Here is a 22,101-nt window from a genome sequence, read left to right on the forward strand (position 1 = left end):
CCCCTCCTTTGCTGAAGTTTGTCAGGGTTTGTTTCAGCTATTTTTCAACCAAATAATCCTAAATGGTATAATACCACTTCTTATCTGGATGGATTATCTGCAAATTTAATGCTTTCCAATATCATTATCTCCCAGACTACAAGCTCCTGGAAGGCAAGGACTAGGTTTCTCATTATTTAGCCTAGCACCGGCAAATGGCCTGGTTTACTGTGGGTGATCTAGGAGTGTTATGGAATGAATGGATGACGATATATCATCGTCATGAAAACTGCTTAGCAGAAATAGTGATAAAAGAGGCAGAGGAGCTTCCCTTGCTCAGCATTTGATGGACTAAGAGGCAGCAGAGTTATAGAAACATTTCTGTAGCCAGAGTTTAAATCCTGAGGAACCTGTTCACCTCTCACTTCTCTCCACTGCTCTCAATCCCTTCCAGTCACTGTGCATTTAATCTCATTTACATAATAATAAAATACTCCTCAGTGATGGAACAAGTAGCCTAGCTTGCGTCCTTGTCTACTACACTCGGCTTCGATTAATTTCCTGTCAGCAGAGGAACTTTAATTTCATCTTCAACAAGGTTTTCTTAGTGCCAAGAGCCATATGTGCTTTCCAGCGTTGCAGGTTGGCATCTCCAGTGAGAGTAGGACTTCTCACCCGCTACCTCCCCTGTCCCTCCCTAAATCAGCTAAGCTTCCAATGGCATAACCCAGGGCAGGGACAAAAGGCTTTCAACGATAAACTGAACATTATACTAAGCCTAACTCCATACTGAAACAGAAGTACTCAACAAAGAAGTCTGACAAATAATCTGGTATCAATCATGGTAGGGCCTGCACCTCAACAACAGCTGGATCAGTATTTATGTAACTTCCTGGGGGTTACCTTGGAGCTCCAGAAACAAGATTGGAGGCAACAAGGTTGTTGAATGCTTTATCACAGCCTTAGAGGGATACTTTCAGGAAAATACTCATGTGAACTACTACTCTTAGTGACAACCTGAAACATCAAATAACCTCCACTCCAGGTCAAGCACACAAAAAATAAGCGGGAACAAAGGCAAGGATCAAGGTTGAATGAGGGGCACATCTAGTGGAAGCTTTCCTAAACAAAGATGCTGTAACCAGCCACAGACACTCTTTCCATGAAGTTAGGCCTTTCTCATCCATGATCCTACATACTTAAGGAAAAGGAGAAGTCCACAAAAATTACAGGATCTCAAAGGCATTTCTATCAATAAATGAAAGAGCTTCATATTTCTCTGGAACAAACCAAGAACAGAACACTGTTCCTCTCAGACCTGCAGCACATCTACAAACTCTTGCTGTTAGCCTCTGTTCCCAACCTCAGAGTGTGTGCGTGTGTTCATGTTGTATGAACATGTACAGATGTAGTGGACACTCTCATGCAGGTCACCAGTTCCAGATCTTAGTGTGACTGTAGGATAAAATTCTGTCTCTGACCTGGATCTCATCAATGCTGTGACTCCTATGTTCCCATGTTGCTTGTTCCTCCTCTTTTGTTTTCCATATTCCGTCTAGGGCTACAAATTACTGTGAAACATTTCCACTTACACACTCAATGAGCTCTCACTTTCCCTTATTTCTCTACTCCTTCTTTTTTCTTTGATGTCCTTACAGGTCAACAGGCCACTACCACCACCTGGGCTGACAAGAAACTACAAAGTCCAATGAACAATGAAGATGTTCAAGGGTTTATATAGAGAAAGGCACACCATCAATAAAAACCACCAAAAGACCACCCTTCAGCATCCCTACTGACTGATATCAACTGCCTAAAAGATGTAATCCTGGCCAACCAGCAGCCCTCGCTGCTGCTCTGCCTATGGAGTGGCCATTCTTTTGTTTCTCTAATAAACTTGCTTACACACACACACACACACACACACACACACACACACACACACACACAAACACACACACACACACACACAAAAGACCCTGTGGGGCTGCCCAGGATACCAGATGGAGAGGGAGAGCTTGCTCTCTGGTATTGCACCATCCTTCCCCTGCCTCTAACTGAGAAGCCTGCCTGGAGGATACCTGCATGAACAAGAGGCAACATGAAGCCTGGTGATTCAGTCAGATGGAATAGGGCTTGTAGCTAAAGGAAAAAAAGACTCAATGTATATTTGAAGCTCAAGCACTGATTTAGGAGAAGTAACAAGAATATATTAGAGGAAAAAAACCTCCTTTAACTAAGGGCAAAGGTATTTAGTTTACATTCCTATATTTTTCCGTAAGTTTTAAAAAAATAGCATACAATGTAGTACTATAATGTAATACTTCCTCTACACAGATCAGACATTTCTTAAATGAGACTGTGCTGGGTGCTACAGGGGAGGTGATTACAACACATTTTGAAGGTAACTGTGGTCACAGCTTCCAGTGGACTGAAAGAATCCCAGACTTCTCTTCTGGAGAACAAATACCCCTCTGATTCCTGTTTTTGCCATCAAGGCACTGAAGCTGTTGCAGCTGCAATCTTCTCTCCTCTATGTCTTCCTCCCCCAGCTCCCTGACCTGAGTTTATATCCTCTTCACCATTTACCTAAAAATCTTGGCTGGTGCCTTGGTCTCAGACCCTGAAACGCCTCTGTGAACTCTAGGGAGCATGAATGTTAGGCCTTATGATACCAAAGAGAGCTAGGAAAGCCCAAAGAGCTCTCTCTTCAACCCCCAGAGAGGATAAAAACAGAAAAAGAGACACAAGGGGGTGTAAAACAGGGAATTCAAAGTCTCTCTAGCTTCCAACAAGCCAGCTTTAGCTTCCAAAGTCAATTATTCAGTGATAATTTACTTAGCGGCCTCTGGGACCAAAGGCAGTTTCTTCTACTACAACTTGTAAGTTAGAGACTATTTTCTTCTCTCTACTGGACAGAGACACCCCATACAATTTCAGCTGAACAAAATAAAAATTGGTCTCAAATAATATGCTACTGCTTTTTTTTCTGTCATTACAGGTAATTGCATCCAGGGTTCTTCCTCCTCCCAGCCCATATTCAATTTTTGACTGAAGGTACAGTACCACAAAGCCAGAAAGCCTGTGGTTGCAGTGTCTTGCCTGCCATAAATTTCTGGAGGCCATTATCATTAGGAGTCTAGATTTGTCTCACAACTACAGACTTTCAGTTTGAAAGGAAAAGAAAAAAATGATTGACATTGGATATGACGAAATTTTGTTTTTCCCAAATTTCATCTGGTGCTAAATACATACCCGGAGTTTCTTCTTGAGATCTCAGCTTTCCTATCATGATGATGAAGCAAATTAAACATGCATATAAATACTTGTGTCTAGCCACATAAATTGGTGAAATTGCCTATATGCAAAAATGTGTAATAAAAACAAGCAACATCGTCATTTCAACCACTGAGAATAAAATCCTTTAGGCTCATCCCTGCTATGGTGCAATCCAGGGATAAAGCCCTGAGTCAGCCTTGAGACAGTCTGGCCTGAGAACTTGAGCCCCTGTTGGAAAAACCCTGTGCAATGTGGTGATGCTAAGCAGCTTTATGGTTTTGTTAATGTTCTTCACCGGGTTTTATCTTACTCCACCGAGGCCACTGATCTTTAATCATCGCATTAGTGTCAGCTGTCAAACCTAAGAGCATTATGAACTAGGTTCTTGGAAAATGCAATGCCATCATTAATTTGTTAACCCTCTCAACCATCCCGTGAAGGGGGTTAGTACCACTCTCTTTTAAAATATGCTAACAAGAGATGTTACCCTCTCAAGGTCACACAGGATTTGTCACAACTAACACTATTCGGGGTATTTCCACCCTCACTCTAAGTTCTTGCCCAGGTTCGCTCGCTAAGGGGAAAGTGGACCAGCTAAACAAAGAGGCACCAGCACAAAAGGAAATGCCATTAAGGAGCAAAGGAGCTAGAGGAGTTTACCAAAGAGAAGCATAAACGAATAGGAGAGGAATGGAATGAGGCGACCCTAACAAAAATACATGCCGACTACATCTCAGAAAAGTTATCTCAGAAAACAAGAGAAAAAGAAAAAACTCTTTCCATTTCACTTAAGGAAAACTGTGTGTGTTCTCTTCCTGAATGCCAAGAGGTAGAAAATTCAGGAGACTTGTTTTCCAAAGATAAGGAGCTTACGAAGTATTCCACATTACTGCTCACCTATTTTAAAGGGGTTCATAAGCTTGTTTGACATATCTCCTTCTGAAGTACTTAAAAATGCAGTTAATTTAAAATAATTGTTGGTACTAAATAAATAGCAAATATGCTGAAAGCATCAAATCAGGACTATATCTGATCTTAGCCAGTTTCCCACAGGCTCAGTTCCCACTGGGCTGTAGAATGTTGATGCATGTCTGTGCCCGTATTCAATTTGGGAAGATAGGAGTGTGCTGTTTTCAGCCAGTAAGTTTATGGCAATTTATTATACAGCAATAGAAAATTAATACAGAAGCACTTTGTCTTCCCCATCACATTGGTATTGGGCTCTTCCCTTCATATCACTATTTTCAAAACTCTACCTACAGGTGGATGTCATGAGCATAAATAAGACACCTTCTTTTATTCAACCAGTTCCAGTGTCACCATTAATAATTATTCAACAGATGTTGCAGCTCTCTTGGTAATGTCTGTTGAACATAACCACCATTTACATTTTACATTTTAATCATGGCACTATAATATTTAGAGAGCTGGTAAAACTTAATAGAGCCACACAGCGTAAGTTTACACATGAATTTGCTCTTCTACAATCTGGTAAAGCCTCAAACATGAATCTTTTACCAAGGCATATAACACCAAAAGTGCAGCACAGTCATTTCATTGTTCTTATATTTTTCTTGCATAAATTTCATGTTTTTAAAGATATAAGTCTGACTTTTTTTTCATGTTCTCTTTCCTAGGTTCCAGTATATGAACTGGGAAGAAAACTCCAGTGAGAAGAGCAGAGAGTAATTTTTAAATCTATTTTACATAAGAATGCAAATAAGAGAGTCAATAAATGGTTCTATGATGTGACCATTATCATCAAGGGTAAAATCAGTCATCAAAAGCTATTACATGAGGATGGCTTGACCACAGGTAAGTAAAAAAAGAGCTGAATCAATCCTTGACTTAGAGAAAAAATTTTCCATTATCCTCTTACCATCCTCTGTAAAAGCTGTCTTTGTAGGCTTAAATTTTAATAAATACCTTCCTGGTCACTTTTTAAAATCCAAGACTACTGTACATGCCAGCTTCCAATTAAATGCATTCACAATTTTCTTTTTTAAAACAAATTCTCATCAATAAGAATTGCTAATGATGGCTGGCTTTGGGTGGGTATAAATTAGAAAACATAGTCACCACCATTTTGTTGTTGTTTTTAAATATAAAAATAACTATTTTCTCTTAAAAAAAAAACACTGTAAAACAAAAAAAGCACTGAAAAAGTTTCAGTTTGGAGACCACCACTGAAACATTCTAATGCTTTCCAGTTTTTTCTATCACTATTTTATTACTTTTATAATCAGAAGGAAAATATTTTAAGTAACATTTTCATCTAAGTAAAAACTGAAAATTTTTTTATTTCAGTATGAAATAAATACTATGAAAATAGTATTAACATCCTATAGTGGGAAAAGGCACTGGTGGCCTTGCTGAGCTACTCATTTATCTTTGGGTAATCAAGTTAATCTTCAGATGCCCGTCAAATGTGAAAGTGGATGATCTTAAATACAGAGAATCCTTTCCCTCTACTCAAGCAGTCTTTGATTATGAGACATGAAAGTTTCCAAAAATTTTCCATAGGTCATTCTGGAAAGATGGCTATAGCAGCCATCTTTCCAGATATTAATTTAATACCAGCCTGGTATTAAAATTTCTCTGAATTCCCACATAAAAATAAACAAAGCACTTACACAGTAAAGCCCAAAGCTTGGAGACAAGGTGTGCCATTGAACAACAAAATACAAGCAGGTAAGAACAAACCAACATCATCCATAAGATCTGAGTGGCATCAGCTTGGGGAGAATCAGAGGAAAACAAGGCTGATGTATCTGAGAACTGGAAAACCCCTAAAAAACCAAAAGGAATTCACAGGAAAGTAAGGATGCCCAATTGGAGAATAGTAGCTAAAACTAGGAGGGGTTTTGCCTGACCAAAGAGTCAGTGCAAGGGGCCCACAGGAAGATTTGAAGAGGCTAACCTAGGCTAGTCCCTGTGAACTTTGGAGACTGCCCTCAGGACTGCCTTCCAGGAAGAGAAACTGCTGGGAGTGGAAACAAAATTGAACAGGATGGGAATAATAGAGACAAAGGAAAGAAAAGGTCCAGATAAAAGCAGGTAAAAGGAACAGAGCCAGACAGTGACAGAAAGCAGGCTGCCATTTTTGACAAGAAAACAACAGAAGGCTAGGTTCTAAACACTTTAGAAAGCCATTTTAAACCCTGCCTCCTGAAAGTTCAAGGAAATTATTTTTCACATGAAAATGAAAAACAGAAAAATACTGACGTCAAATCCCATACAAAGTTATACAAAACAAGGGCAGAACATCCTTATAAACCATAAAAGCATGCCACAACACAGAACAAAAACAAAATCCCCCAAACAAAAACACTCCAGATAATAGCCTACTATTTCAAAATAAACTAAAAGACATGAGACAGAAAAGAACGTTAGGAATTAGAAAAATTCAGAAGTGAGAAGAGTTAGAAATAAAATGAAAATGCATTTCAGTAATGATGACTACACTGGAAGGCAAAAAAGAAAGGCTAAAAACAACACATAATACCCCAAGAGAAAAGGAAAAGAAAAAATTAAATTAAAAAAGATTTAAAATATTTAAGATAGTAACAGATAAAGATAGGCAAAGATGATGTAACATACAAATGATAGAAGTCCTTGAAAAATCAAAGCAAAGGAAGAAAATTAATATTAACAAGATAATTAAAAGGCCAGGCACAAGGGCTCATGCCTGTAATCCCAGCACTTTAGAAGGCCAAGGCAAGAGGATCACTTGAGCTCAGGAGTTCAAGATCAGCCTGGACAACATGGCGAAACCCCATCTCTACAGAAAATACAAAAATTTAACTGGTAGTCCCAGCTACTTGGGAGGCTGCGGTGTGAGGAATGCTTGAGCCTGGGAAGTTGAGGCTGCAGTGAGTCATGATCGTGCCACCGCACTCCAGCTTGGGTGACAGAGCAAGACTCTGCCTCAAGAAAAACAAAAAGGTAGCCATTCGGAAGGAATCCCTCGGTAGGCACCTTGGACTTCGTAGCTTCTGGAACTGTGAGAAATAAGTGTTGTTTAAGCCACAAATCTATGGCATTTGTTACAGCAGCCAGAGCAGACCAAGACAGAGTATTTGCTGATAAAGCTGTAATTTGTTTTGTGGGAATTTCTGTACTCATGTTTTATCTTAAGATTAAATATTTAAAACAAAAAACAAAAGCAAACTAAAAACCTTTCCAGATCCCTTACCTGTGCCTTGGCCAATTTCTTTTCCAGAAGGTCCCGTTCCCTCTCTGTTTGCTGGAGACGTTTATTAAGTTCCACTATATCTCCCTTTAGTGATGCCAGGGCTGCTGAATGGAGCTGTGGTGACAGAAAGGAGGAGATTAGAGTATTGTAGCAGAGATGTATTTCCTTCCCTTCATTCCCGCAACTAGTATAACCAAATAAAAAGCCTATCATCCAAAAAGCAACACTTTTGAGAATGAAGGTAAGTGTTATGAGTTTTGGGGACAACAGGCATAAGTCAGGTGTGCTACCAGCAAACTGGGTTATATGGTCACCCTAAATATTATGTGTGGGACATGGGACCTAATTTTGCATGGTATAATCAGGCCAGAGAACAAAACTTCTCTTTCCAATGGCTTTCCCCAAGCTACTCAGTGAGGATGAGCCTGACAGCTGAAGTGGAGCTGCCTGATTCTAATCATGAGAGTCAAGAAAATCAGAACCATATTAATTTTCACCTTCGGAAAATATGAAAGCTGAATAGGGCAATTTGGATTTCTGGAATCCAGTCATCTAAATTGCTGCATATGTGACAGGCAGACAGGCACTGAGCATTAAGGGGAAAAAAGCAGCAGAGCTCATTTTTTAGATGGTCTCCTTGTACAGTTGACCCATTTATTTTCTTGTTGGGTCTTCCCTCCTCTTTGCCTCCCCACTTCCCCCGAAAGGCTGTACTGGCCAGACAGATGCTTATGTGCTAGCAGGCCCTCTTTCAGGAGCAGCACCAGAACTCTGACAAATGACGCTGTGAAAAGACAAACCAAGGATCAACTGAGGTATCTTTCTGCAGCCATTTCTCTGGGTTAACTGGAGTTAGAAAGAATGTTCTTCAAAAGATTAACAGGAGGCCCCACGTACATCCAGAATCTCCATCTGTTCAACTTCCAAGTTCTAAAGACTGGACTTTGGCTGCACACACACCTACCACACATGTGCCTTCTGTGATTTTCAGGCCGACGGATGGAACTATTTTTAAGACCCGTTCAACACACTGGTCCCAAAGCAACACCCTGAAACGTCCTTTGAAACCTTGAAACTTTCCATTCCAGGTGGAGCTCAGACCATCCCCTCACTGAATTCCATACTACATTTGGGTGAACAACTGGAATTAGAACAAACCAACCCCTGGCTTTATAGGCTTTTTGTAGTCTTTGCCAAGAAGGATTTCAAGTAAGAAGTGAGCAAATACATTTGATCTTTAAAGATGGACACAGGACGATGGTACGTAACTCAACTTTGAAGATTCTCATTTGAGGCTTAGAAAAATGTGCTTTTCTGCAACCTGCCCTCCACACACAGCATGTTGGCTGGCAGGCTTCAGGGTGAGGGTGGGGTGGGTGTTGAGTGAGGGAGAAGCAGATATAAGGCAGAGTGTGGGGTTTCAAAGCAGTTGTTTTTGTTAGACTCTAATAGCAGTAAATGTGACTTCACTTAATCGCATCGGAGCAGCAAACCAACAGATCAATAGCCGATTTGAAATCAGGAATGCTTAAAATTAAAAAAAGAAAATGTCAGGCAATCTGGCAGTATTTGTCTTCTGATGTAGGGCTAGGGTGGCTTGGAAAAGGTCACTGTGGGTTTCAGATACAACGTTTTGTGTGACGACTTCTCAGTACAAATACCACAGTGTTCCCGTTGTATAGTCTTGTTGAGATTGTTTTGTTTGGTGGAAGGGGAACGAATTCACTCCCTTTGATGGTTGGTTGCCCCCTCAGCCTTTGAACTGTCAGTCTGAGGATTTTTCTTCAGCATCTGACACTGTGGCATGTTACGCTATTATACCAACTCTTGAGAAAGGATTTGCCACCTCACCTCCGGCGAAAAGGATAAAATACGTGAGAGCTGACATGTTCTTGAAGAAATTGAGGAGTGGGGATAAGGATCCCAGCTCTGTTAGCCTAGACTTGCTTCCTTCCTCATTATATCTCCCCTCCTACTTCTGGGGGAAAGGGCTGCTTGAAGGGGTTGGGGGAGGCCTGGAGGGAAAAGCTGAGAGAATGCTGCATGCTCCCCCACAGACTCCATGAACTGGGCCAGATGGAGACACACACAGAGTACTTACTTCCATCACAGACTTGGAAGAGGGGTCCAGGATGGGTCACTATCATGGGGGAGAGCACCGGGCTTAGAGTGATAATACCTTCTGGCCTACCAGCTCTCCAGATTTCCAGGAAGAGCTGTCAGATGCCCAAGGGGGCAGGTCCCTTCACTTCTCTGGATGGAAGGTGCCTATGTATGAGGTGAGAACAGATTCCTTGAGAATCTCATGAATGCAATGGACCCTTCTACTAGGGCAGAGATGAGTTTGGGATGCATGCATATTTTCCACCCAATTATGGTGATGACACACTCTGGAATCTATCTATGGGCCCCTCAATAAGAAACATCTGGACTTGATGTCAGCTCTGTGACCCCACATCAGTTTCAGAGACTGTCTCATGTGTCATCATCACAGATGTCTGAGTGGGGAAAAGAACTTTGGTACTGATGTCCCCGACTCCATAACTGCAGGTTAGGATCTGGAATCCAGAGACTGACTTGCTTACTCAAGGTCTCACAGTCAGCTGAGCACCAGGGCCAAGGCCACAGCACTCTTTTCTGGCTCTCTGGTATTGTACATGACAGAGTTTTCAGTTTGTTACTTGGATGAAAATTTTACTTAACATATCTTCTCTGATTATAAAAGTAATAAAATTGCAACAGAAAAATAAACCAGAAAGAGCATTCTCATGTTTTAGTGATGGGCTTTGGGTGGTTTTAAGCTGTTTTTTTGTTTGGGTACTTTTTGTTTAATGAGCATTTTTTCCTGAGTTATTTCTGTATTAAAGACACAATAAAATAAAGTGACTGTTTTCTGCATATGCAGGCTATAGCATAAATATTGTACAGGGTTATTTTGCTTCCTTGCTGCAGTCTGTCCACCAACTCTTCTGACAGAAGGAAAACCTGTAACAATGAGGTAGAATAAAATATGTCTCTTACTGTTACTGACAATTACTCCGCAGAGGCTACAACTAGAGAGAGCAGAAGTTGGAGTGGGGGAAGCCACCAACCAGCCATAAGCCACACTGCCTAGAATTGGCTGACAGACCACTCCTTGACCTCCTGGACGGAGTAGGTGAGGAGAGGAGTGGACTTCCCACCACAAGTTTGAGTGCTGGACACTCAATCTCTGTGCGTTTGAGTTCAGTGGCACTCCCTGTCCCACTGCATCATCAACTCAAGTCATCAAAAGCTGACATAACCTCCCCTCTTTTGGGGTTTCACCAGTCTCTGGCTTATTGGTGGCATTCCTGCAAATTCAAAAGCTAGAGTGTTTGTGAGCGATGCTACATGAAGGAATTTGTGTAGTTGTGTGTTGGCAAGCATGAAAAAATTAGTTTAGAGGTCCCTCTAGGCAGTTAAAACTTTTTTACTGAAATATAATATTTATACATATTTATGGGGTACATGTGATATTTTGATGCATGCATACAATGTGTAATGATCAAATCAGGATATTTAAAATAACCATCATCACAAACATTTTTCATTTCTTTGTGCTAGGAACATTTCAAATCTCTTCTAGCTATTCTGAAATATACATTATTGCCAGCTATAGTAACCCTACTGTGCTACAGTAGGAGTTATTTCTTCTAACTGCATGTTTTTACCCATTAACCAACCTCTCTCTTCATCCCTCCCCCACTATCCTCACATTCTTCCCCACCTCTGGTATCTATCATTCTATTCTCTATCTCTGTGAGATCAACTTTTTTAGCTCCCAGTATGAGTAAGATCATGTGATATTTGTCTTTATGTGCATGGCTTACTTCACTTAACATAATGACCTCCAGTTCTGTCCACACTGCTGCAAATGACAGGATTTCACTCTTTATTATGGCTGAATAATATTCCACTGTGCATATGTACCACACTCTGTATATCCATTCATCTGCTGATGCACACTTAGGTCGATTCCGTATCTTGGCTATTGTAAACAGTGCTGCGATAAACATGGGGATACAGGTGTTCCTGTAATAAGCCGATTTTCTTTGCTTTGAACAAATACCCAAGTAGTGGGATTGGATCATATGGTAGTTCTATTTTAAGGGTTTTTTTAGGAACCTCCACACTGTTTTCCATAATGGTTGTCCTAATTTACATTCCCACCAACAGTGTATAAGAGTGCCTCCGGGTGATTTTTTAAAGGACTACCAGTGGGTTTAAATCTTGGAAAGATAAATGTACTAAAGCAACCAAAATTGTCAAGTATGTATAAATGGGAAATTATATTTATGCCAATTTTTGGGATCCCTTTAATCATATTCTGGTTTCTGAAATGGCCTCTAACTTGAGAGATTCAGACATATGAACTATGAAGTATGATGAAAAGAAAATGTTCCATGAACCAAAGAGAAAGAAAATACATGCTGTTTAGAGTCTGTGCTAGTGTCTTCCTCAACACATATTTCTCTTCATACTCAGGAGTCAGATGCTGATTTTTAGCTGGTCATATTTCTGCTCAGCGAAAATATTCCAGTTCCCATCCTTCAGTGTAGTTTGCGCTAGGTATAGCCATGTGACAAAGTTCTGGCCAGTGCGATGTAAGCAGAAATACTGTGTGAGAGGTATGGGAAAATCTTTTTGAGAGGGCACATCCTTTTTCCTTTCATCCATCCTTGCTGTTTGGTATCTTATGTGATGGATGGAGCTCTAGCAGCCATCTTGTGCTACAAAGCTGAGACTCTAGGGAGCAGAAAGGTGCCTCAGTCCCTAGCAACTTTGTGGAGCCACCCCACCAGTTTTGGACCACCTAACCCCAGACTTCTGTTACAGAACTGCAAGAAATAAACCTCTGTTATACAAAGCGCTATGAAGTTGAGAGTTTCTGGCAAATGAAGCTGATCTAATCCTAATTCACAGAATCAGATAAAGCTGGGTTCAAATCTTATCTATGCCACTTGTTGGTGGACTGTCTTTGCACAATTTAATCCCTTTTGTTGTAGGGCTGTGTCAAGACAAATGATGGCATCCAGAAAGTGACTAGCAGGGTGGCTGGAACCAGGTAAGCACTCAACAAACGGGTTTGTTTGAAGTCAACAACCTTCTCAGGCAGACCAAGCCCCATCAGAGGTGCTAGGGACACTCAGACTAGGAAAACAGTCCTGTCCTGGAGAAGCGTTATCACCTGGTAGATAGCACAGGACTAAGAAGCCAATAGCTGCGTTGCCAGATTCTGCTGAAATCCTAAGGCTTAAGGAGCTGACAGCCAGGGCTCTTAGTTCTCTGTGAAATTTTAACATGAGGCCTAAACGAGGTTGGATAGAACCCTGACACTTTGTATACAAATCTGGATCTAGTGCATGAAGGATATAGATCCACACATTCCTCACATTTCTGGAGATAAAAGGCCCTAATTCCCTAGGCTGTTTTGAGCCCTGCTTCACATTCATTTTACAGTGTGTATCCAAACGAAACTAAACCACCTGGACATTTGGCTGCAAGCTAACTGTCAAAATGGTTATTTTTGGATAAAACATAACTTGAGTAAAATAATTTCACTGTTCAACTGACTCTAAGGACAAGCCCTCTTAGCCTCTGAGAGGAAAGGTGTCCAGCCCCCCTGAGCCCAGGTAAGAAGTGAGCAGTGCCCTCATGACAGACTCTCCCAGGGGTATCTCCTTTGCTAAGTGAATAGATGTCTATTCCGTTACATATCTGCTGTGTGACAAAAGGCTTCACACTTCATAAGGTGCCCTTGAACTCTGCAGTCCAATGACTCTGATGAGAGCCCCTCCAGGAGTGTCACTGCGTATTTCTGGTTATTAGGTGCTTCTGCATTTTGCTAACCCTGGCAATAAACACAGCAGACATGCCTACACTACCCAGTGCACACACCACTCTCCAGGCACCATCTCCTCTGACCTTCATCACGCCAGGACTCTGTGGCCTAAGGGCAAGCTATGCTTCCCGATTTGCTGAGGGACAACTATTTTTCCCATGAAACACAGTTGGTAAAAAGGAATACGATTTGAATAAAATGGTGGAGAACCTAGATTCATCTTTGTGGGACTTCAGTCTGTGCTTTGAACAGCACAGTCTTCAAAGGGCCCAAAGGCACCTGCAGCCACAGGTGAGGCAGAGGAATGAGTTCATCCCCACAGGCCCTATCTAGATACATGCACCTCATGCTGCTGAGGCACCTCATGGTGCTGAGGGCTGGGCCAGTCTTCCCGGCTTTGTTGGGAAGTGAGTTCATCTGGGGTAAACTGTGCTTGTTCTCTTTCTCCTTAACTTGGTCTGGCTACTTGAAGTGCTAGTTTAACACTCACTGCCAGCGTGCATCTATTGCCTTCCCACTGAGTAATGACAGGAGTTACAGTGGTCTCCCCCTTAATGGAGGGAGGTCTGCTCCAACACCTGCAGTGGACGCCTGAAACCTCAGTTGGTACTGAACTCTATATACACTGTTTTTTCCTATACATACAAAGCTATGATAAAGTTTAATTCATAGTCAGAGATTCAAAATAATTAATAGAACAGACCAATTATTAACAATATGCCAGCACTGCTACTCTTATGCTTCGGGCCATTATGATGTAAAATAAGGATGACGTGAACACAAGCACTGTGATGCCATGGCATTTGATGTGATAACCCAGCTGGCTAATGGGTGGGGAGCACAGACAGTGCAGATATGCTGGACAAAGGAAGGAGCCCTTCCCCAGGTCGGACAAAGCAGCCCAGCACGCAAATGCATCAGCCTACTCAAAACAGCTTGCAATTTCAAACCTGCCAATTGTTTATTTTTGGAATTTTCCACTTAACATTTTCAGACTGCAGTTGACTGCAAGTAAATGACACTATGGGTAAGGGGGGACTACTGTACTATTCTGTCTTTCTAGCTGAGCCACTTGCTTTCCAGATACAAAGTATGCACAATTTTTGCTTATGTTTTAGTGATGACAATGGGTAGTGCCAACTTCTCTCATCCAGTGACAATGGGTAGTGCCAACTTCTCTCATTAAAGGACACTTAATTTCACTGAACTTAATTTCATTGAATACATATTTTTGGCAGGTTCCGCACTGCATGCTTCATACACTTTACCTGTTCCATCAGCTGCAGAGGAAAGGCAGTGTCAAATCCCAATGCCAAAATCTGCGAATATTCTTGAGAATTCCAGGTCACCAGGCAGTAATAATGAAAGTAATAATATTAATAGTTACCGTTTGCTGAATATTTATTGGTATCAGGGGCTTGGGCTAGGCACATTACATGCCATATCTTATTTAACCATCACCACAATGCTGTGAGATATATGTTATTACCTCCTTCTGGCAAACGAGGAAACCAAGGCACAGAAGAGGGGTAGAAAATCAGCCGAAGTGAAGAAAACTAATAAATATTAGGTTGGTGCAAAAGTAATTGCAATGGCAAAAACTGCAATTACTTTTTCCAACCTAACAGTACCGGAGATAATAACACACAAGGACCCTATGCTCAAATCTTCTCCACTATGTGCATCACTGGCACCTCCAACTCAACATACCACGGCTCTCCCTTGCCCGAGGGATGCGTAAACCTGCTTGTGTCCATGTATGTGTGTGTGGAGGGGTGGATGTGGGGCGGGGGTGAGGTGTGTGCACAGGCAGGGCTGAAGACATGGGAGAAGCAGGGTCAGGGTTTTCGTGATGGCAGCACCCATGTGATTTTGGGTGGGAGCGAGAAGGGTGGCAGGGCAAGTCCTCCAATGCTGTGATGAAGCGTGGGGCTCAGCTTGGTATAAATGTGGGTGATTCTCTTTGTCCTTTCTGTGCTTTTTTGTCCTCTGTAGAAGGGTTTGTATCGGATTACCTCTAAGATTCTTCTGGTTTTAAACTTGTAACATGCTTGCCTGGCATGTTCACCTGTCCAGGCACCTGAGTTCTGCACTATGGGCTTTGCATACTTTATTTGTCCACTGGTCCCAGAAAAATCTGCTGAAGCTCAAATATTTAAGGAAGCTTCACTCTATACAGAACTGTTCACCCAAGATCTTTTCCCTAAAAATGGAATGAGTTTTCAGAATCACACATCGTCTTACCACTGGCAAGGGAATTTGAGAACATCTAGTCCAATTCCTTCATTGTAGAGAAATGAAACTGAGACTCAGAGAGGTTCAAGGTTCATCAAATTCAGATTTCCTGGTTCCCTGTCCAGAGGCTACCTCTCTCCCAATGGCAATCCAAGAGCTCGTGGGTAGTCAATAAAATATGTATGTCCCAGCTATCCTTGGAGACAGCAAGAAACATCTGCACATGAAAAAGCCTCATTCAGCTTCCCATCCAAGACTCCACACCCAGGTGTTCTAATTCAGATACATACAGAACAAAATGCCTGGCAAAAGGGTAGTGTTCCCTGCTAGATGGATACCATCAGGCCTGTTCAGTGACTTCTAGGACTGGAACATTCCTCTTTACTACCGGAATTCCAGCTAGGGGCACCTGCTATGTAGTATTTCAAGAAATGCTGCTCATAGTCTTGAAAGTTAAAACTCATTAAATATAATCTAAATTATAAATTAAAGATGTCTCACTGCATGGAAATCACTTTTGTGTGCCCTAGATCAACTCAGAAAGCAGCAGCTTTTCATCTTTCCTTTTACCTGATAATTTCATTGAGAGGTCAGTGGCCCCTGAATTATTTCTTAAACCTCAGCTGAAATTCAGTTGCTCAAAACAGCATTCAAAGGCTCCTTCAACACCGCAGCAGTGGGACACCATTTATACAAGAAAGATTAACCCTACCCAAGGATGGCTGATATAGGGAACAGTGCCAGATCACAAAGCAGGCCCAGGTACTCACTGTGAAAGCTGTCATACTGGTCCCTAGGACCCACTTAAAGCCACACCTCCCCTTCTTCAAATAAATGGTTAGGAAATGGCTCCCAAGGGGGAGAGGTGTCTGAGACTGACAATCAGCTTTAAAGATGACCCACAATCCCATCCCATCTGTAAACATATGCTCCCCTGAAAATATGTCCCATCGTAATTTTTACTGGCTAACACAACTGCTTGCTATGTGCTAGATTGCTATACTCAGCATATAACATGCATTTTTCTCAACTATTCTTCACATAGCTTTATGAGATGGGTAGTGCTGTTATCTCCAATTTAAAGAGGTAGGAATTGAGACTTAGAGGTTAAGTAACTTGTCAAGCTAGTAAGTAACAGAGCCAGAATGAAAGCCCAGGTCTGTCTAACCCCAGGGTCTTGTTCATAACTACCAAGTCCCCTGCTTTGCAACAGAATATCATAGCACTTCTGAGATCCTTGCAAATACCCACGAAACTGTTGAGAAGAAAGATCTCAGAGGGTTATTCTGTTAAGAGAAGAAAGCAGAATTAGCACAATTAGCATGGGGGATAGACAGGTATTCATTCTTTAAAACTTTAAACATTTTGAGAAATAGAAGACCATTCAGCTGGTATCAGACCCAGGAAGGAATCCGTGAAAAATTAATCTCCAGCTATTCCTACATTCTATGTGGGAAAGTTAAAGAGGACAAAATTGTAGTATAGGTAAAACAAGCCCTTACAAACACCTAACTTTGCTGCTTAAAGACTACAGAAAAGGAAAGGTTATTACCTTCAACTGATGTGATCTTTAAAAATTAAAAATCTAAACAGAAGAATATTTTATATATTTTGTAAAAATTTCCTATACAAATATTGTAAGACAATAGTAGCTATTAAAAATAAGTTATTATTTTCCACTAAAAAATCCTAACTTGTAGTAATATTTATTTTCAAGGGAAACGAAAATTATGTGGTTATACAAGGGTTTTTGGAAAGAAACACAGACAAAATAAAGACACTGCACTAAGCTGGCTGCACCAACTTAAATTTCAAGGGGGCTGCATCCTAATGACACATCATGGAGGAGATGAAGATGTAACAATTAAATCCAGCTAATCAGGGGACATGAATATTTCAGTGCACGCTAAATACTGATGTGATTCCCCAGGCGGAAACTCCCACAGAGAATTCTATGAACATGAATAAAAGGGTTCTCTGACAAGGTCTGAATTGTTCATAAATTTTTATATTGATCCAATTTAGCAGGTATTGAATTCCCCATTCTAGAGAAACCAAGTACCTTTAGTGGTGAAACAGTCAATAAACTCCACAGATCAGGAAAGGCCAAAGTATTTTTACAGCAATGGTTGAAGTGCTTTGAAGAGACCCTAGATTTTAATGGATTAAGGACAATACTTTTTGTTTGGGAAAGCAAATGGAGGTTTAGATTTATGTGTGTGTGTGTGTGTGTGTGTGTGTGTGTGTGTGTGTGTGTGTGTGTGTCTACACATACCCATACACACAGACATGCAATTACCAACATATACACATACAGAGTATATATAAAACTCAAGGCACATGCTTCCAGACTTCTAATTAAAGTGTAAGAGTTATCCAAGATGTCAGCTATTTAGATATTCAATACAATCATTTTTAAATGCATTCCCATCTTTTAAAAGATACTTTAATATGCATTATTTCATTTAAAGAAAATCAGTTTTAAAATGCTTGATGCCACGGCATGCTCCGTTTCAGGGAAGGCCCAGGCAGGCCCTGGCTTGTCTTGCCTCACCACAGGGCTGCTGACGGATGGGCCATTTACCGTTTGCTGGTACATCTAATCCAAAGCACCAGGAGAGGAGGAGACACATTTCAAATCTGCTTCGTGTTCCCTCTCTGATGGGGCCCTGCTGACTGCTTCAGAGAACAGTGTGTTTAGATAGAAAGAAGGAATGGCTTTTAGGTCTGAATCTTCTTTCCTTTCCAATCACTCTAACCCAGCCAACAATAGTCCCAACTCGGATCACTTTGTTCCCAGAAAATGAAGAGAATGGGAAAGAGATTAGGTAGAAAGAAAACAACATGAAAAAACAGTTTCATGGTTAAGGACATAGGCTTTGTCAAAATGCAAAAACAAAATACCCTGGACTTGAGTATTAGTTCAGCTTTGGGTAACTCGTTTAACTTTTCTAAGCCTCAGTCTACTCATCTTTAAAATGGGAACAACACCCACTCATTCTAGTTGAGAAGATTAGATGAAATATTTCAGGCAAATCACTTAACCACAACATCAGCTGGCAGACTGTTAGCCACAAGGGTCGTTGCAATCTTCTTTTTTTTTTCCCTGAGACATGGTCTCACTCTGTCACCCAGGTTAGAATGCAGTGGCAAGAACACAACTCACTGCAGCCTCGAAATCCCAGGCTCAAGTCATCTTCCCACCTCAGCCTCTCCAGTGGTTGGGACCACAGTCAGGCACCACCACGTCCAACTAATTTTGTTGTTGTTGTTGTAGAGATGGGGTATCACCATGTTGCCCAGGCTGGTCTCAAACTCCTGGGCTCAAGTGATTCTCCCACCTTAGCCTCTCAAAGTGCTGGGATTACAAGCTAGAGCCACTGTGCCTTGGTCCACTGCCACCTTACTGACCACAATTATCATATGCCACCCCTTCTGCCTGCTAAAAAGTGTCAAAATAAAATCAGGCTTTGAAAACAGTGGTACGTTACTATCCTATCTCATTTTCACAAGTCCTGATTAAGCAATCAGAATGATTCAACACATTGGAGCCTAGATCACATTAATCAGAGTAATCTAGAGTCTGCCTTTCAACACGTGTAATTGAATCAGCTGCTCCCTGCACCCAGGCTGGGCCAGCAGGTAAGCAGGCAAACACATTCATCCTAAACAGCCTGGAAACTGGAGTAGCCTCATGCCCGCTTTGCACCCTCTGCCTCATGGGTCCTCATATCATTCAGGTAAGAGACAGTCAAGAACCAAGCGGGACATACATAATGACCCCAAAATCAATTTCCATAAAAACGCATCTCAATAGTACAAAAGAGAGGACCAAGGAAGTTATTGTAAGCAAGGACACACACAAAGGTCATCTATTCATGATAGAAAAATAATCAAAAATAATAAGTTTTTGAATAAATTGTGTGGCAGGAATAGAATAATCCTAAGTTGTCACCAAAACAGAGAAATATATAATTAACTTAGCAATCATTATTTCCCACATGTATGACTCATTTCCTAAGTTCTTTCATGTTGGTTTCCAATTGTCCCCCACAGATCACCTATTCTCCCCCATCCACTTTCTCTTTCCTCCTTTTTTCCTGTAACCCTTAGTATGACCTGACATCATATCCTAACATTTTTTTTTGTTGACTCACTGCCCCCATAAAATTATGAGTTCCAAGAAGGCAGGGATGTCAAGAGGCTGGGGAAATAGCTCATGAACAAGAAGAACTGTACCTGGCACATGGTAGAATTTCACGCAGTATTTGTTGAACGGGTAAAGTTAGCAAATTAGAAAATACAGATAAAGGAACATTATCCTTACCTCTTCCCACCACCACTATGAGATGATATCACCTGCAAATATCTGTCAGACATTTCTGTAAGTGTAACTACACTTAAGATAGTTTATGCAAAACAATTTTTAATATAGTATTATTTTTAGCCAAAATATCTAACTAGAAAGAAGTCCAAAAATACATGTACCAAAATGTTAACAACATCCCCAGGTAATCTCTGTGTAGTGTGATTACAGATGATTTTCTTTCTCAGGTTTATTGTATTTTTTCTATAATAAACATATATTAGTATTATACAATTTTTAAGTGTTTTCTTGACCCTATTTACAAAGTCTTATGAAGAATACAAATAAATAGGTAATCCTTGCTCTCAACAAGCTCCCAGTGTATTCAGAGAGATAAACCAAGGATTTTCCAAATCTAGGAGTTGGAAAGATCATTAACTGTCCTCTTATCCAACAGTCCAGCCAGTGCCAGAATCCTGTCTACAGTGCTGCCTGCAGGTGGTCACTATGTCTATGTGCTAAAAAGCTCGGCAACTCCTCAGACAGCCAAGCCTGCTCACTGTTGGATAGCTACTGGCATTTGCAAATTTTACCTTACATAGCAACTCTGAAATTGCCTCCTTGCAACTTGTCCCATTGGTCTAGTTCCACAAGTAGGATAAAATTAGCTCTCTTTTATACTCCAAACTCTCCAAGTAACTCACTCTATCAGTAAGATCCTTCCTAAATCATCAAACCTCCAGAACAATCCTTGATCGCCCAGGGGCCCCTAGGATGTCAATGTTCCTTTTGGTAAATGGTAGCCAGGACCAAGCACAGTACTCCAGATGAATTCTGCCTAGCTCATTCTTACGTGTCGATCACTTTACAAGAGTTTTCATAGAATTCTCACAGTAAACCGAGATAGGTGCTACAATGAACTCATTTCACAGATAAGGAAACTGAGGCACAGTCAGTTTTCTAGTACTTGAAACCACAAACTTCCAAGCTGACCTGTCACATTTACCACGGGTATCCAGGGTCACACATTTTGAGATCCCATATCTGGTGTGGGCTAAGGGAGAGAGCCTGAGGACTCAAGACTGCAGACTTGGATGGTGCTCAGCACCAGATGGTTTATAGCAGTGCTGCTCAAATTGGAAAGGCCATTGGTACCAGAGGGAGTTTCAGTGGGATCCCCATGCTTGCTCTGACAGTGCCTGGCACCAGAGGTAAGAAGCTCCCCTGTATAGGTAAAGGGCAGCCTGAACTCTGTAGCCAAAAAGGCGCTGTTCTACCCAAAAAGACCTTGTTCCTGCAAGTAAGCCATGAACCTACCAAAGCTGGTGCACCTCCTGCACCCCACCCCATCTGCCAACACTAGCCTGGCCAGGGCCTGTGAGTGTTTTGCAATCCCTTTGCCAAATCAAAGATGTCAGAATTGCAGATAAAAGCTACAACACAATGCAAGTCAACCACAGACCAGAATGAAATCTGGTGGTTTGAGTCTAGCTTGACAGCGCTCCAGCTCTTTTCCTGTAAGGAGCTGCTTCTCCCTCAAAAGCAGCCTGTCCTCCTACTTTGTCTCTAGAAACCACAACATACTAGTAATTCGGACAGGTATGCAACAGCTCAACATTATCTTAATATAAAAAGCCTCCCTGTTTCTTCCCCCTACCTACAAGAAACACCAACATTGTATCACATATTGTCTTGCCAGTTCTCTTACAAACTGACTTATTCCTTTTTTGTCCCCTTAATTTCATGGGCTAATTCTGAAATTAATAAAGTATGGCAGGGGTAGTGGCATTACTCGCTGCAGATGGGATAGCTAAGGACAATGCAAGGTCTCCTACATCGGCACTCACCTCTACCCTTCTGCCGTTACAGGGACTCTGTGACACCCTTGAAAGAGAAAGCAGCAGGAAGAATAAAGAGGAGGCCACCATGATGGGCTGATAAAAGAAACGTTTCCTTGGGGTTTACGTTTATTGGTTGTTTCTGACTTTCTCTAAATGGCAGGAGCACCCGACCCAATGGCACCGTCTTCCAACCTGTAACCACCCAAAAAATCCATATTAGGTTCCAGACCTAATGGTAATAGAAACAGCTTCATTGCTGAGGGAGGTGGGGAGCTTTTGGGTAATCACAAATAGCACACAGCTTCCCAGAAGTAAGACTTCTTTCATCATATATTTTTGGGAATGACACGGCTTTCTGCCCCCAAAACATACATTCATTTGCAAGCTAAATTTCTCCTGTGCT

At 41.4% G+C, this 22,101-nt stretch overlaps 1 protein-coding gene across 2 annotated transcripts in view; it reads right to left on the minus strand.

The window, feature by feature from the left end:
* MCC (MCC regulator of Wnt signaling pathway) overlaps positions 1-22,101 on the minus strand; it is a 466,348-nt gene that overhangs the window by 121,750 nt on the left and 322,497 nt on the right. For both annotated transcript variants that reach the window (NM_001085377.2, NM_002387.3), the window contains one exon: positions 7,454-7,567. In NM_001085377.2, coding sequence (NP_001078846.2) covers positions 7,454-7,567 — 114 coding nt within the window. The remainder of the gene's footprint in view (positions 1-7,453; positions 7,568-22,101) is intronic.

The sequence above is a fragment of the Homo sapiens genome, chromosome 5 (assembly GCF_000001405.40).
Source record: "Homo sapiens chromosome 5, GRCh38.p14 Primary Assembly".
Taxonomy (NCBI): Eukaryota; Metazoa; Chordata; class Mammalia; order Primates; family Hominidae; genus Homo; species Homo sapiens.